This window comes from Homo sapiens, chromosome 11 (assembly GCF_000001405.40).
Source record: "Homo sapiens chromosome 11, GRCh38.p14 Primary Assembly".
NCBI lineage: Eukaryota > Metazoa > Chordata > Mammalia > Primates > Hominidae > Homo > Homo sapiens.
Window position 1 is genome coordinate 3,407,741 of NC_000011.10, and position 14,887 is coordinate 3,422,627.

General features: G+C 53.8%; 2 pseudogenes across 1 annotated transcript in view, besides 4 other annotated features; one reads left to right on the forward strand and one right to left on the reverse strand.

Annotated features, from left to right (window-relative positions):
* The window catches only part of TSSC2 (tumor suppressing subtransferable candidate 2 (pseudogene)), a 28,188-nt pseudogene extending 26,780 nt beyond the window's left edge, over positions 1-1,408 (forward strand). The window contains exon 11 of the transcript NR_024248.1: positions 946-1,408. The product of NR_024248.1 is annotated as a tumor suppressing subtransferable candidate 2 (pseudogene) (transcript). The remainder of the gene's footprint in view (positions 1-945) is intronic.
* FAM86GP (family with sequence similarity 86 member G, pseudogene) lies at positions 484-14,812 on the reverse strand (annotated as a pseudogene).
* Positions 1,546-2,046: an enhancer, noted in NCBI's record as "H3K4me1 hESC enhancer chr11:3430516-3431016 (GRCh37/hg19 assembly coordinates)". NCBI's record gives its function as "activates a minimal SCP1, AML or CMV promoter by ChIP-STARR-seq in naive H9 embryonic stem cells {active_cell/tissue: H9 hESC(naive)}" and the evidence as "EXISTENCE:reporter gene assay evidence [ECO:0000049][PMID:30033119]".
* Positions 2,047-2,547: an enhancer, noted in NCBI's record as "H3K4me1 hESC enhancer chr11:3431017-3431517 (GRCh37/hg19 assembly coordinates)". NCBI's record gives its function as "activates a minimal SCP1, AML or CMV promoter by ChIP-STARR-seq in naive H9 embryonic stem cells {active_cell/tissue: H9 hESC(naive)}" and the evidence as "EXISTENCE:reporter gene assay evidence [ECO:0000049][PMID:30033119]".
* Positions 14,529-14,668: a silencer, noted in NCBI's record as "silent region_3077". NCBI's record gives its function as "represses an Ori minimal core promoter by ATAC-STARR-seq in GM12878 lymphoblastoid cells {active_cell/tissue: GM12878}" and the evidence as "EXISTENCE:reporter gene assay evidence [ECO:0000049][PMID:35858748]".
* Positions 14,699-14,838: a silencer, noted in NCBI's record as "silent region_3078". NCBI's record gives its function as "represses an Ori minimal core promoter by ATAC-STARR-seq in GM12878 lymphoblastoid cells {active_cell/tissue: GM12878}" and the evidence as "EXISTENCE:reporter gene assay evidence [ECO:0000049][PMID:35858748]".

The window sequence follows — 14,887 nt, forward strand, 5'->3', positions numbered from 1 at the left end:
GGCTGGCACCGAGCCACGCTCCCTGATCCCTGCTTCCCACAGCCAGGGTGGGACCATGTGGGGTCTGGCGGAAAAGCTAGGGAGGGAGCAGAGGTCACAGAGTCCGGCCCACTCTGCTGTCCCGTTTCGGTACAGTAAGCTCGGGAAAGTTAGGACACACCCCCACCTGCCCTCTGGATTTATGGAGCTGACATTCCACAAATGATGCTGGAGCCGGGTGGGCCGGGCTGCAGTTTAGGAAGTGATCAGGGTCAGGTAGGTGCGTGGGCAAAGGGAGCTTCTGGGACCAGCCTTGAAAGATGGGTGGAATTCTGCAAAGGTTACTTGTTTCTTATTGCTAAAAGTAATACATCATTCTTGCCAACAGAATGATTGGCAGGATTTTCAGTAAAGGTCCAGGTCAGAAGTCATTTAGACTGGGTCCCCCAGTCTCTGTCAGAACCATGGTACTCTGTTGTGGTGTGAAAGTAGCCACAGATCATCTGTCGATTAAGGGGTGTGGCTTTGTTCGAATAAAACTTTATTTACAAACACAGGCTGTGGGCTGGATTTGGCCTGCAGGCTGTAGTTTGTGATCCTTGATTCAGACAGTTTAGCAAGGCTGAAAAGAACACCGACACCCCCTTGTTACCCACAGATGGGTGGGACTTGGCCGGAGGCCAAGAGGAGGGTGCTCGCAGGGGAACATACAGCATGTAGAGGCCAGGAGGTGCTCCAGGGCACCAAGTGTGGGAAAGTGGGACATACGGGGAAGTTTCCAGAAAGCATGATGTCAAGTTGGAGGCAGAGCGCTGCTGGGGCATGAAGAGTCTCGAGTCCAAGTGAGGGAGTTAGGAACTTGGGAGGGGTTGTTGTTGGGTAGGGGACCTGGGGTCAGCCAGGTGGTGACATGGGATGGGGTGGGGACAGGCAATGAGGTAAGCTCTGCTCTTTATTTTTTTGCAGGTGCTTTTCTCAAACTTTCCTGATCCTGCGGGCAAGCTAAACCAGTTCCGGAAGAACCTGCGGGAGTCGCAGCAGCTCCGATGGGATTAGAGCTGGGTGCAGACTGTGCTCCCTTTGGTTATGGACACATAACTCCTGGGCCAGAGGCTAAAACCCCGGGACCCCTGCTGTCCTTCCCACAGCTTCTTCTCAGAGTCTCAGGGCAAATCCTTTCGAGCAGCGCCTCCCAGTGGCCAGAAGCTGAAATGATGGCAGTAGTGCCACCTGGTGAATGAATTGGTTCTGTGACCCGGGAAGCTGTGCTTGGCTCTGATTTCTTTTCTGGAGGCTCGGAAACACTTCCTCTCTTCTTCTGTTCTTCACGCCCCATGCCCCTGCTAGCGTATTACTGTTCTGTGACTTCCCTGTGACCTCTGCAGTACTCCTCATCCTGCGTTTGGTCTCCAGGTGTCACCTTTCTGCCGTGTTCCTAACATTTTGATTCCTGTCTTGAAAAAAGCACCTGCTGCACCATAAGCCCAGGGATGTGGCAGCTGCAGCGGGCTTGGCTTTGTGAAGAACCGAGTGTGTCCAGGGATGTGGCAGCTGCAGCGGGCTTGGCTTTGTGAAGAACCGAGTGTGTCCAGGGATGTGGCAGCTGCAGTGGGCTTGGCTTTGTGAGGAATCGAGTGTGTCCACCGATGTGGCAGCTGCAGCGGGCTTGGCTTTGTGAAGAACCGAGTGTGTCCACCGATGTGACAGCTGCAGCGGGCTTGGCTTTGTGAAGAACCGAGTGTGTCCACCGATGTGGCAGCTGCAGCGGGCTTGGCTTTGTGAGGAACCGAGTGTGTCCAGGGATGTGGCAGCTGCAGCGGGCTTGGCTTTGTGAGGAACCGAGTGTGTCCAGGGATGTGGCAGCTGCAGCGGGCTTGGCTTTGTGAAGAACCGAGTGTGTCCAGGGATGTGGCAGCTGCAGCGGGCTTGGCTTTGTGAAGAACCGAGTGTGTCCAGGGATGTGGCAGCTGCAGTGGGCTTGGCTTTGTGAGGAATCGAGTGTGTCCACCGATGTGGCAGCTGCAGCGGGCTTGGCTTTGTGAAGAACCGAGTGTGTCCACCGATGTGGCAGCTGCAGCGGGCTTGGCTTTGTGAGGAACCGAGTGTGTCCAGGGATGTGGCAGCTGCAGTGGGCTTGGCTTTGTGAGGAACCGAGTGTGTCCAGGGATGTGGCAGCTGCAGCGGGCTTGGCTTTGTGAGGAACCGAGTGTGTCCACCGATGTGGCAGCTGCAGCGGGCTTGGCTTTGTGAGGAACCGAGTGTGTCCACAGATGTGGCAGCTGCAGCGGGCTTGGCTTTGTGAGGAACCGAGTGTGTCCACGTTGGGGGGAACATCATACTTGATACACACGTTTTTATTTGCACAAAGAAAATGCTATTTTTGGAGCCAGAGTTTTCATGTCTGATTGATGGCGATTTTCTTAAGAACCAGAACTGCTGGCAGAAAGGGAGCACCCACAAGCTTAGATAGCCGATGTCTTATCAGAGGGCAGTTTGTGGTTCCTGATTTGGAAATTAACATTCTCCAAACATTCCAGTCCAATGAAAGTTTTATCCGCTTTCCCATATAAAAACTCTTCCCACGAGAGTGACTTGATTCTCACAATCCCGTTGGAGTCGTGTGTGAGTCCTACAGTGTGAGGTTCAGCATTGCCATCTCCAAGTGCTCTTCGTAGGGAAACAGTTTCTGGTCATGACGAGGTTCCACTTCCCATCTGATCCCGGCCCGGCCTGGAAACAGAGGACATGTGTTTGAAGATGGCAGTGTTTGGGGACAGGACATGAGCGTATTGTGTGGGGCTGCTAGGACAGGCCTGGCGGGGTGGGGGCGTGTACAAGTCAGTTTACTTGGTTCACAGGTTCTCAGGCCCACCCAGGTGCCTAGAATTGGCCTCCAGGATGGGACCAGAAATCTGGTTTTGCATAGAAATGGCTAGCAGCAGGCACCGTGCCGCTGTCCAGTCTCTGCCCGCGTCTGCCCAGCACTTGGCACAGCGGGACAGACGCAGAGATCTGAACCCACACTTACCTGGCTGCTCAGTCAACTCACTCTTCACAAAGCTTAGAAAGCGGCCAGGCACAGTGGTTCACGCCTGTAATCCCAACACTTTGGGAGGCCGGCCAAGGCGGGTGGATCACTTGAGATCAGGAGTTCGAGACCAGCCTGGCCAACATGGTGAAACCCCATCTCTACAAAAATACAAAAATTAGGCAGGCACAATGGCGGGTGCCTGTAATCCCAGCTACTTGGGAGGCTGAGGCAGGAGAATTGCTTGAACCCAGGAGGCAGAGGTTGCAGTGAGCAGAGATTGCGCCACTGCACTCGAGCCTGAGTGACAGAGTGAGACTCCATCTCAAAAAAAAAAAACAAAATCACACACACACACACACACACACACACACACACACACACACAGCTTAGAAGGGGCTGGTGTTCTCATAAGCACAGATGTCTGAAGAGCCGTTAGCCAGAATGATTCTTTTCTTTTTTTTTTTTTTTTTGAGATACGATCTTGTTCTGTCACTCAGGCTGGAGTGCAGTGGCACAGTCATTGCTCACTACAGCCTCGACTCCTGGGCTCTAGCAATCCTCCCACTTCCTGAGTAGCTGGGATGACAGGTGCATGCCACCATGCTAGTAATTTTTTTATTTTGTAGAGATGGGGTCCTGAATGCATGGCCTCAAGTGATGCTCCTGCCTCAGACTCTTTTATTATTTTTTTTTTAGACAGAGTTTTACTCTGTTCCCAAGGCTGGAGTGCAGTGGTGCAATCTCAGCTCACTGCAATGCATCCCAGGTTCAAGTGATTCTCCTGCCTCAGTCTCCCGAGTAGCTGGGATTATAGGCGTGCACCGCCACGCGTGGCTAATTTTTGTGTTTTTAGTAGAGATGGGGTTTCACCGTGTTGGCCAGGCTGGTCTTGAACTCTTGACCTCAAGTGATCCGCTCACCTCAGCCTCCCAAATCCTCTGCCTCTTACAGTGTTGGGATTACAGGCGTGAGACACTGTGACACGGGATGATTTTCAATCACAGTTTTTTGTTACGAGTGGAAAATGTGTATTTATAAAAATAAAGTAGTACAGACATGAACGTGTAGAAGTCTCTATAATCCTGCCATCCAAGGATGGCACCTGTTAATGTGTATATCAGGGATGTCCAATCTTTTGGCCTCCCTGCACCACATTGGAAGAAGAAGAATCGCCTTGGGCCACACATAAAATACACTAATGCTCGCAATAGCTGATGAGCTAAAAGAAAAAAAAATCACAAAAAAACCTCGTACTGTTTTAAGAAAGTTTACAGATTTGTGTTGGGCCACAGATTGGACGAGCCTGCTACATATATATTCTAGGTTTTCCCCAATAGGTATACTTATGTGAAAATGATTATTGTGATACTTTTTTTTTGAGATGAAGTCTTGCTATGTTGCTCAAGGGGGCCACAAACTCCTGGGCTTAAGCCATCCTCCTGCCTCAGCCTCCTGAGTAGTTGGGAATATAGGTACTCATAAACATGTGTGGGTGATTATTATTATTTTTTAAACAAAAATGGGGCTGGGCGCAGTAGCTCACGCCTGTAATCCTAACACTTTGGGAGGCTGAGGCAGCAGATCGCTTGAGGTCAGGAGTTCAAGACCAGCCTGGCCAACATGGCGACACCTCGACTCTACAAAAAATACAAACATTAGCCAGGTGTGGTAGCACGCACCTGTAGTCCCAGCTACTCAGGAGGCTGAGATGGGAGGATAGCTTGAACCTGGGAGGTGGGAGGTTGCAGTGGGCCGTGGCACCACTGCACTCCAGCCTGGGCAATACAAAGCCAGACTGTCTCCAAAAAAAAAAAAAAAAAAAAAAAAAAAAAAGGTGGGTGGGGGCTTATACTATGTGTTCTGCTTGGCACTGTTTTTTTCACTTCAAAGATATTGCAGTTATTTTTTCACATAAGTATCTGAAGAAAGACTTCCTTTTTTTTTTTTTTTTTTTGCCTTTTTGAGACAGGGTCTTGCTCTGTTGCCCAGGCTAGAGTGCAGTGGTGAGATCAGGGCTCACTGCAGCCTCCACCTCCTGGGCTCAAGCTATCCTCCCACCTCAGCCTCCCGAGTAGCTGGGACTACAGGTGTGCGCAACCATGCCCGGCTAGTTTCTGAATGTTTTGTGGAGATGGGGTCCCACTATGTTGCCCAGGTTGGTCTTGAAATCGTGGTGTCAAGAAGTCCCCCTGCCTTAGCCTCCTAAAGTGCTGGGTTGACAGGCCTGAGCCCCGCGCCCGGCCAGCCTCCTGTGCGAGGTTGTGCAGGACTTTGTCGTGGAACCCAGTATGCCTTCGTGTGCTGGCTTGTTTGTTGGCTCTGTAGTTAACGCGCTGCCCCACGTGGACAGGCATTGGACCCACGTCTCTGTGTGCAGGCAGAGGCTGCTGCGCGTGCATCTGTGCACATGGCTGCCAGGAGGGGCTGTGCTCAGGGTGATCTGGGGCAAAGGCTGGTGGCAATGGGGGGCTTGGGTGTAGTGTGGAGGCACGAGAGCCAGGTGGCCGAGCTGCAGTCTGTGGGAGCTCAGGGGTTGCTTGGCCTCTGTGTGTCCTAGTGTCTTTGTCGGTGAGATGGGACAATGATAGCACACTCTCACAGGTGCTGGGGGCTGACAAATGTCAGGTCTGAGGACAGTGGCTGGCCCACTACGGGGACAATTCCCCTTCTCTATAGTCACCCTGCTCGTCTTCCATCAACTGGGTGCTCAGGACAGTGGCGTGGTGGATCCGCCTGTACAGCCTGTGCTCCAGCGTCCTGCAGGCCACAGCTGTGTCCAGCCCTGACCCCGACTGCCCCTCCCACCACCTCCATTTTATAGATGAGGAAACCGACGCCCAAGGGCTTAGGGAACCCTGCTCTGAAGCACACAGTAGGGCTGCTGGGCTCAGATCCTCCCTCCCTGTGCTGAGCTGCCCTCCTCCTGCCGCAAGCTCCCACGCCCCAGGCCCACCCTGCTCACCGGCCTCTGCCCTAGTTCCCCGCATGGTGTGGGAGTGTGGGGCATCCTAGCTTTTCCTCGGCCCCCAGTTCTTTCACTTCCACTGGAGTCCCGCAGGGACAGCTCGGGGACCATGCAGGCCCGGGTGGGCGTGTGGGCTCACATAGCTCGGTGGTGAACAGCTGGCACGTCTCTGGGTTGCGGACGATAAGGGCCACGTAGACTTGAGGAGCCCGCTGGTGCTCCCGGTAGGCAGCCAGCCTCCGCAGGACCGCGACCAGCGACACGATGGATTCTGGGCAATACAGCACGTCTACGGTGAAAGCTTCAGGTTACTGAAAGGGACCAGCGGACAGTTCCAGGTCATGCTGACCTCAGCAGCAGGGCGAGGCCAGAGAGGCAGCAGTCATATGAGACTAGTAGATGCCATTTGACCATTTGGGCCATTAGATGGAAAGGCAATTGCTTGGGTGAAAAAGGAGAACCCTTAGTAGAGAAAGCTGCAAAAGACCGAAGCAAAAGAAAAAAATCTCCAGACTCACTGGTGTTCCTTAAAAAATGAGCTCTGGTTCTCGGCCTATCTAGAGGGCTGTGAATGACACAAAGCCTGACCCTGCCATGAACTTCGTGTTTCAGGTGTCTGCCGATTTGTCTGCTGGCTTGCAGGGGTGGGCCTGTGTCCCTGGCCACCGCTGGACCTGTGGGTTTCAGGGCTGGGACCCAGGACCACAGGCAGAGCTCTGTTCAACCAGAGAGGAGACCGAGTGTGCTGGCAGGGGCGAGGGGTTTTCGGTGGCCCAGCCAAACACCACCTTCTCTCAAGGGCCCTGTCCTCATCCCAGAAGTGGTTGTTTTCCTCCTGTGGTCTCTGAAAGACAGAGGCATGGCTCTGGGACAGAGCCATGTGGTGATGACTGTAATGGGAGTATGCCTGTCTCCAACAAGAGGGCTGTGGCTGGAAGGTCACCTTAAGAGGCACCCCTGTCCTTTGATGTCACCCTGGAGGCCCAGAGTAACTCTTCTGGAAGCCCCATCATGTCCATGCCCGACAGCGTCCATTGTTCCCTTTTCCCAGAGCCCAGAGCTGGGTAGAGCTGCAAGGACACCGCCTGCACAGAGTGCCCGGGGCTGGGCATTGCCTGCTGCAATGACAACATCTGGCTGGATGGCAGAGAGCTGATGGACCGTCGCGACGTCCCAGTCCAGCTGGGCCACTGTCACCCTGGGGCTGTCTAAGTTGGCAGAGATGTCTGCCTCTAATGAGAGGCCATTGAGAAGGACATTCCCTCGGAGCTTCTCGAGGACCTGGCTGTGACAGTCGCTGAAGATGTATGCCTGGAGGCGGCACATCTTGCAGATGGCCAGGCCTGTGAGGCTGGCGCCACTGCCAAGCTCTAGGACAGTCCTGGCGGGAGGAAAGGGGACCATGTCTGTAACTGCACCAGGGTGAGCCTGCCTCGGTGTCCTGCCGTGCGCCCCGAGGTCACCTATGAGAGAAGGCTGCCGGGTTCTCGATGGCCCATTCTGCCAGGTAGAGGGCAGCATCTCATGTGACCAGGCCTGTGATGCCATGGGAGATGATGGCTGTGCTCTCGGAGAGTGTGACTGAGCCTCCCGAGGGCTGCACCAAGAGAGGGCGAGAGAGTCAGTCCAGCAATCAGAAGGCAAGTGGCTTAGAAGACAAGTAGCCATCCACCACATGGCTGAATAAACCATGACAGGACCAATCGCCACTCAGCAATGAGAAGCAGCTAACTGTTGACATGCCAACAGCTTGCACGGGCCTCAAGGGTGTCACGTGGCATGAAAGACACTCATCTCAGGCCACACAGGATTCCATTCATCGAACATTCCTGAGACAACGGAATTCTGGTGATGGAGCACAGGTCAGTGGTGGCCAGGGGCCAGGTGTGGCTATGAAGGGGTGGCTGCCTTGTGATGATTCAATATGCTATGTTTTTCCTTTGTGGTTTTCTGTATCTATGTTTTATCTTATTTTCTTTTGAGCTCTGTCACCCAGGCTGGAGTCAGTGGCACAATCTTGGCTCACTGCAACCTCTGCCTCCTGGGTTCAAGCAATTCTCCTGCCTCAGCTGCCCAAGTAGGTGCAACTACAGGCATGTGCCACCATGTGTGGCTAATTTTTCCACTTTTTTTTGAGACAGAGTTTCCCTCTCGTTGCCCAGGCAGGAGTGCAATGGCGTGATCTTGGCTCACTACAACCTCCACCTCCTGGGTTCAAGAGATTCTCCTGCCTCAGCCTCCCGAGTAGCTGGGATTAGAGGCACCTACTACCACACCCGCTAATTTTTGTATTTTTAGTAAAGACAGAGTTTCACCATGTTGGCCAGGCTGGTCTCAAACTCCTGACCTCAGGTCATCCACCTGCCTCAGCCTCCCAAAGTGCTGGGATTACAGGCATGAGCCACCACGCCCGGCCTGATTTTTGTATTTTTAGTAGAGACAGGGTTTCACCATATTGGCCAGGCTGCTCTTGAACTCCTGACCTCGGATCCACCCACCTCAGCCTCCCAAAGTGCTGGGATTACAGGTGTGAACCACCACACCAGGACCTGTCAAGTATTCTTTGAGGACTGGACACCAGGTCCTTGTGAAGCAGGTAGAGTGTGTCACCTATTGGACAAATGCCCAACAACCCCATGAGACATGCTGTTGTTGTTGAAGTGCTTGATTTACAGACAGGGAAACTGAGGCTAAAGAAGGTTGACGGACCTCATGTCTAAGACTGCAGAATGGGTGAGTCAGGATTTGAACCCACACCCACGTTTTCACTTTGTGCAGGAAGGGTATCTGGGCTGTGAGGGGGAGGAGGGTGCCCTTCTCATACCAGCAAATAGCTCGGGTGGCCCTGGGTGGACTCCTTGGCCATCAGGGTCTCTGCCAGGTCCTCGTACAGCTTGTCCAAAAGCTCTGTGTGGACAGCCTCGTGCTGGGGTCAGACAGAGTGAGAGCTTGTTTGCTTTCGTTCTAATCTGTAAAAATGGTCAGATGATTTTCACCAAGTTTGGAGGGGAGATTTGGGATGGAATGGTGTAATACCAGCCAGCTGGCATGTAAAATATTCACTTCATTGGGCATGGTGGTGTGTGCCGAATAGTCCCAGCTACTCTAGAGGCTGACATGGGAGGACTGCTTGAGCCCAGGAGTTCGAGGACAGCCTGGGCAAGAGACCTTGTCTCTAAAAAAAAAATTCACTTGGTAGGGAAACCTGGATGGGAGGGCCTTCAACGAGAGGTGTTGAGAGGGTAGGGTTAGGTGTAGTCTAGGGCAGGAGACAAGGATTCCGTGAGAGCTGCCACATGACCATGACAGAGAGGAGGAAAACAAAAGGTGCTTTTAAGTGAGCCCAGGCAGAACTGTGAGGGCGGCCCATGCTGCAGGCTGTGGCTGTCAGCAGGCTGCTTCTCCATGGCTGGCCCCATCTTAAGATTCACAGGGCAGCAACAATATACACTGGGTGACTGCTGCCCTCTCCTGGTGGCACAGGGCAGACCTGCTGGTGACCACAGATGCACCCTTTTGGGGAGGATTAGGGAGAAAGCAGGTATTGGAGAAGCAGGGGATTGTTTACTTGCTAAAAGTGTGGCCCTTTCACTAAGATAGGTCTGCTACTGCCTACTGAGGAATGGCCTCTCGACATCCTTATGTCAAACCCTGCACTTTCGGGCCCATCTTTAAAATCCATCCTAGGCCAGGTGCGGTGGCTCATGCCTGTAATCCCAGCACATTGGGAGGCCGAGGCAGGTGGATCACCTGAGGTCAGGAGTTCGAGATCAGCCTGGCCAACATGGTGAAACTCTGTCTCTACCAAAAATACAAAAATTAGCCAGGCATGGTGGCATGTGCCTGTAGTCCCAGCTTCTTAGGAGGCTAGGCACGAGAGTTGCTTGAACCCAGGAGGCAGAGGTTTCAGGGAGCCGAGACTGTGCCACGGTAATCCAGCCTGGGCAACACAGTGAGACTCTGTCTCAAAAAAATAAGTAAAAAATAAAATCCATCCTGCATCAGTCAGGAAAGAGCTCATTCCAGCAGGATCAATGCAGAGAATTCACCAGAGGAACTAGTTCCAAAGGTATGGCAAGAGCTAAACCTTCCAACAGGGGCCCATGGGGCAACCCAGAGACAGACAAGAGCAGGAAACTCCAAACCCTTCGGCGGGCAGGACAGAGGGTGTGGGTGAGGGTTCCAGTGCTGTGGGCTGGACCAGCCTGGTAGGAATGAGAATCCATATGCTAGGAGCTGGGGCCCCAGAGAAGCAGCTGCTGTGGAAACCCCAGGAGGCAGAGTGAGGGAGAGACACTGGCCTCCCCTTCTTCCTGCCCTGCACTGTCTCCCATGGGTCACACGTGGCTGCAGCCAGTTGCCTGGGGAGGCCCCTGTCATGCTGCTGTTTGCAAAGCAGGCCCAGGGCCTGGGAAGGACAGGGGCTCCAGCACGCAGGTGGCTATGCTGTCTGGCTACTGGGCGGACACTCCCCATAACGGACCTTTTTGGTGAGTTCTGAGAGAAAGCACCGGGCATACTTGACTGACAGCCGGTGCTTCACACACACAGGATGCTTCACAGTCTACGGCAAAGGACAGAACGTTGGTTGCTCGAGAGCCCGTCTTAAGTCCCCTATGAGCTTCAAGCCAACACAGCAGAGGGCAAACTCCAGGCTACCCGATCCCTCAGCAAAGATGTAGATGGACACAGCGTTCTGGCCCCATGCATCTGAAGTTTGTCTTAAGATATAAACCGTTTCCTAAAAATGCTTCCACTGCAGTGGCACAGGCTATGGCAGCATTTCTAATGCCCATTCTGAGCAGGAACACAGGGCACGTGGGCCCAAACCACCTCCCTCCCAGGGGTGCCAGTGTGAACCAGGGTTTGCAGTAAGGACAGTCGCCAACTGTCTGGCTCTATGGAAGAGGCGGGAAGGCCCACTTGGCAACTGCTCTCTTGGAGTGTGTGTCCCTGGGGACAGGATGGAGGGGAGGGGACGCTCAGGGTGACACTCCAGCTAAAGTCGAGAGAAGCCGAGTGCAGGACGAGCAAGTTCCAGGCAGTGGCAACAGCTGGTGCAAGCTCTGAGGTGGCCGCGGCCTGGCACTTGGAACGGAGGGCAGAGGGACTGCTGCAGCAGGAGGGGGGCGGTGGGAAAACAGGAGCCTGGAGGGAGAGGGAGGAGACGGTCCGCAGTGCCTGCTGGCTGGGAGGGATGCAGATTCTGCCCAAGGGCAGCAAAGTACCCCACGCAATACACAGGCTCTTCAGGCTGGTGCTGGTTTTTCATTTTTTCTGACACACAGTCTCGCTCTGTTGCCCAGGCTGGAGTGCAGTGGCCCAATCTTGGCTCACCGCAGCCTCTGCCTCCTGGGTTCAAGCGATTCTCCTGCCTCAGCCTCCCAAGTAGCTGGGACTATAGGCGTGCACCACCATGCCCAGCTAATTTTTGTATTTTTAGTAGAGGTGGGTTTTTGCCATGTTGGCCAGGCCGGTCTTGAACTCCTGACCTTAGGGGATACGTCCACTTCAGCTTCCCAAAGTCCTGGGATTACAGGTGTGAGCCAGTGCACCCAGCCTTGTGCTGGGTTTTAAAGCAGCTATCCCTACATTTCATGCTTCACCACCTACGAGAGTGAGGCTCAGGGTGAAACTCAGAGCAGGGTGCGAGATAACTTCAGGTATCTCCATGCTCGAAGCCCTGACCTACTGCATTGCCCCGAAAGTCTTCCCTCCTGTGGCTGCATCTTTTCCACATGGATAATCTTGGTTCACCTCTAGCACAAGAATTCTTCACCGGGGCCCCTAGGATGGGCTGGCTGGGTGGAGGTGGAGGATGTCTGCCTCCAGAGTTTGTATGGAAAATGTATTCTTCTGGTGCACTTCTCTCTGGGAGGGAGTCTATTGCTTTGTCTTTTCAGAAGGGCTCATGGCCCTTCAAAGGTGAAGACCCAGGATGCAGGGTGATCTGCACTTGGCCCTCAAGGCCAAAGTCAGGCTGTGGCTGGGCGGGGTGGTGATCCTGCCTCTCACCTGCATGCAGATGCTCTTGAGTCCAAACCCCACCCTGGGCAAAGTAAGGGCCCATTTAGGTCTAGAAGAGACAGGAGTGGGCAGGACAGGTCTCATGAATGCAAAAAAGAAAGTCTCTGAGCATCTACCAAATGCTAGAAGCTGTTTTGCACCTGTCATCTCTGTTTTTGCTGTAGATGGTTTAAAAAACTTTCCCTAGATTCCCCCCTCTCATGCAGATTTTTGTATATTCTGATGTCTTTGTCTAAGTCTTAGATAGAAAATGAAAGAGCTGGAGCTGTCGGAGGTGCCGACACCCACCTGCAGTGCTGACTCAATGTTCAATGTTCTTTGAACAGGTGTGTTTTTAAAGGGTACAAGCACACCTGTGGTTCTTCTCTCAGGTCTTCCGGAGAGATTCAGGAGGCAGGGTCATGAGTCCCAGGGACTCTGGGATTCTTACAAATATCTGGGATTCTGCAAAATATCCCGCAGAAGCTCAGAATCTGATGAGTCTCTTAACTTTGCTTCTAAGCTCTGTGTGGAGGGGAGAGAGAGAAATCTCAAGGGCGCTTTCACAGGAACATTAAACACGCAATAGAATGTGTTGGCAAAGCGCTGTGTGATCTCTCCCTGGGGACGTGGAGCCAGTTGGAAGTGGAAGCCACAGCAGCTGAAAGCCTGACCTTCAGATGTCGCAGGGTGCACCTGGATGAGTCACAGGAAGAAGGCTAGAAGACTGACTCTTGGCCGCATTAGTCCTGGCTACTTAGAGGCCACCTGGGTCATGGGCCAGCTCCCTGGTTGCACTGGTCAGCCAGGATTGCACTGGTTACCAGGGCAGCCATGGCACCAAGGTTTGATGGGCTTGCCATCTAAGTGGAAATGCAGAATGTGCCCATACCAGCCTGGGTTACATTGTCCTTTTACAGGGGCCTCAAGCCCAGCAGCGAACTTTGGCTCCCGAATTAGGTAGACTGTCTCGGCTGGTATGTGACACAGGGCAAGGCACTTCATTGCTTCAGAGCTCCTTCCATTGCCGTAAAAGGCCCTACAAGACCTGGTCCTAATCCCTCTCTCTGGCCTGTTCTCCCTCACCCCTGGCCAACCCTGCTCACTCCACTCCAGCCACACTGGCTGCCTTGCTGTTGTTCCTCAACCACAGCTGGCTTGTTTCCACCACAGGACCTGTGCATATCCTGTTCCCCCAAGCCCTTCCCATGGCTGGCTGCTTCACCACTCAGGCCCCAGTTCAAATGCCACCTCTTTGGGGAAGGCTTCCCTGATTCCCCGACTTTGGTGACTCTTCTCCCCAGTTGCTCCATTCACCATTTCCCTGTTTTATTGGCTTTAAAGCCACTCTCATCTGGTCTTTTCTTGTTTCTTCATTTCTTTGTTTATTCTCTGGCTCTCCCATGCAAGCAGACCCTCATCTGTCACGGGTACTGCTGATCCATGGTGTCTGGCTCATAGAAGGCATTTATTAAACATTTTGAGACTGAATAAAAACACTATCTAACACTGACATGCATTTACCATGAGCCAGGCACTGATCCACAGGCTTTTGTACTCAACCCTGACAACAACCCTAAGAGGTAGGTATCATTCTATCCCCCATTTTATTAATAAGAAAACAACAGCACAGAGAGATGCAGTCACTTGCCCAAGGTCACACAGGGCCAGGGGTTGGGCCAGGTTTCGAAGCAGGCAGGCTGTCTCCTGGGTCTGAACTCTCAACTACTGCACCCTAATCAAACAATCCCTCTGGTCAAATGTGAGTGGTAATAATAGTACCCACCTCGTGGGTGTTGAGGGTGAGCCCAAGTTAGCATTCAGCGTGGGCATGTGAACAATTATAGTCAATATTGAATGGAGACCTATGATGCTTTTATGAAGGTTTCTATTTTGGGTTAAAAGTGCACAAATTTCTCCTGACCGGAAATGATCTCTGAGTGCAAATATTTCATATCAATGGAATAACGCAAATGATTAAGCAACACCCCATAAAATGGGGCAGACCCAGGGAGGAATATATATCCAAACTCACTCATCCCAGTGAGCTCACCGCACATGAATTACAAATGGGGCCGGGTGCATTAAGCCCCTCTACTGGCAGAAGGGAGGCTGCTGCCTGCCATGCGCCTGTGCTGAGAATGGCAGGTCCCCAGGGAGACGAGAGGCCACCCCCTTCTCTGTCTCTTCCATCACAGGCGTGAGAACCTCAGAGCATGAGCCGATTCTGTGCAGTGCTCGACATACAGACGAGAACACTGAGGCAGGAGAGACAGCCTGTGACCTGGTCACTGCGCTCAGGAGGACGTGGTTACCCGTGGTCCTGAGGGCGCTGACTTTTTAGAATGGGCGAGGGCAGCTCTGTCCCAGTGACCAGAACGGTTACTGTCTTTAAAAAGTCGTGAAAATGATCGTGAACTGTACCCCACAACGAGTGCGCGTCTGCCCCCCAAGACGGTGGAGAGGCCCCCAGCTTCTCCCGCCAGCTCGCGGGGCAGGAGGGGTGCGAGCAACTCTGGCCAGGCCCCAGGGACGGGGACCGGGTCGCGCGGACCTGACCGGCGGGAGCCCAGGCATTCACGTGGCGGGAGCGCTGGAGGCTTCAGCACGGAGACCCATCCCGTCTGCCCCTGGACTCCCGCGAGCCCCGCGGGCCTCTCCGCTCGCCCCGCCGCCCACCTGCCAGGGGAAGGAACGCAGTGCGCGCGCCGCCAGGAAGCGGCGCTCGAAACTCTGCAGCAAGAGTTCGGTCCCCGCGTTCTCCTCGGGCACCATGACGGGGGCGGGGCCGCAGCGTTGCCGGGAGACCGGGCGGAAGCCGAGCCTGGACTGAAAAGGGGGCGGGCCCAGGGCAGTGCGCGGGGGCAGAGAGGGGGCGGGGCCTGGGGGTAGGCTTAGGATGAGAG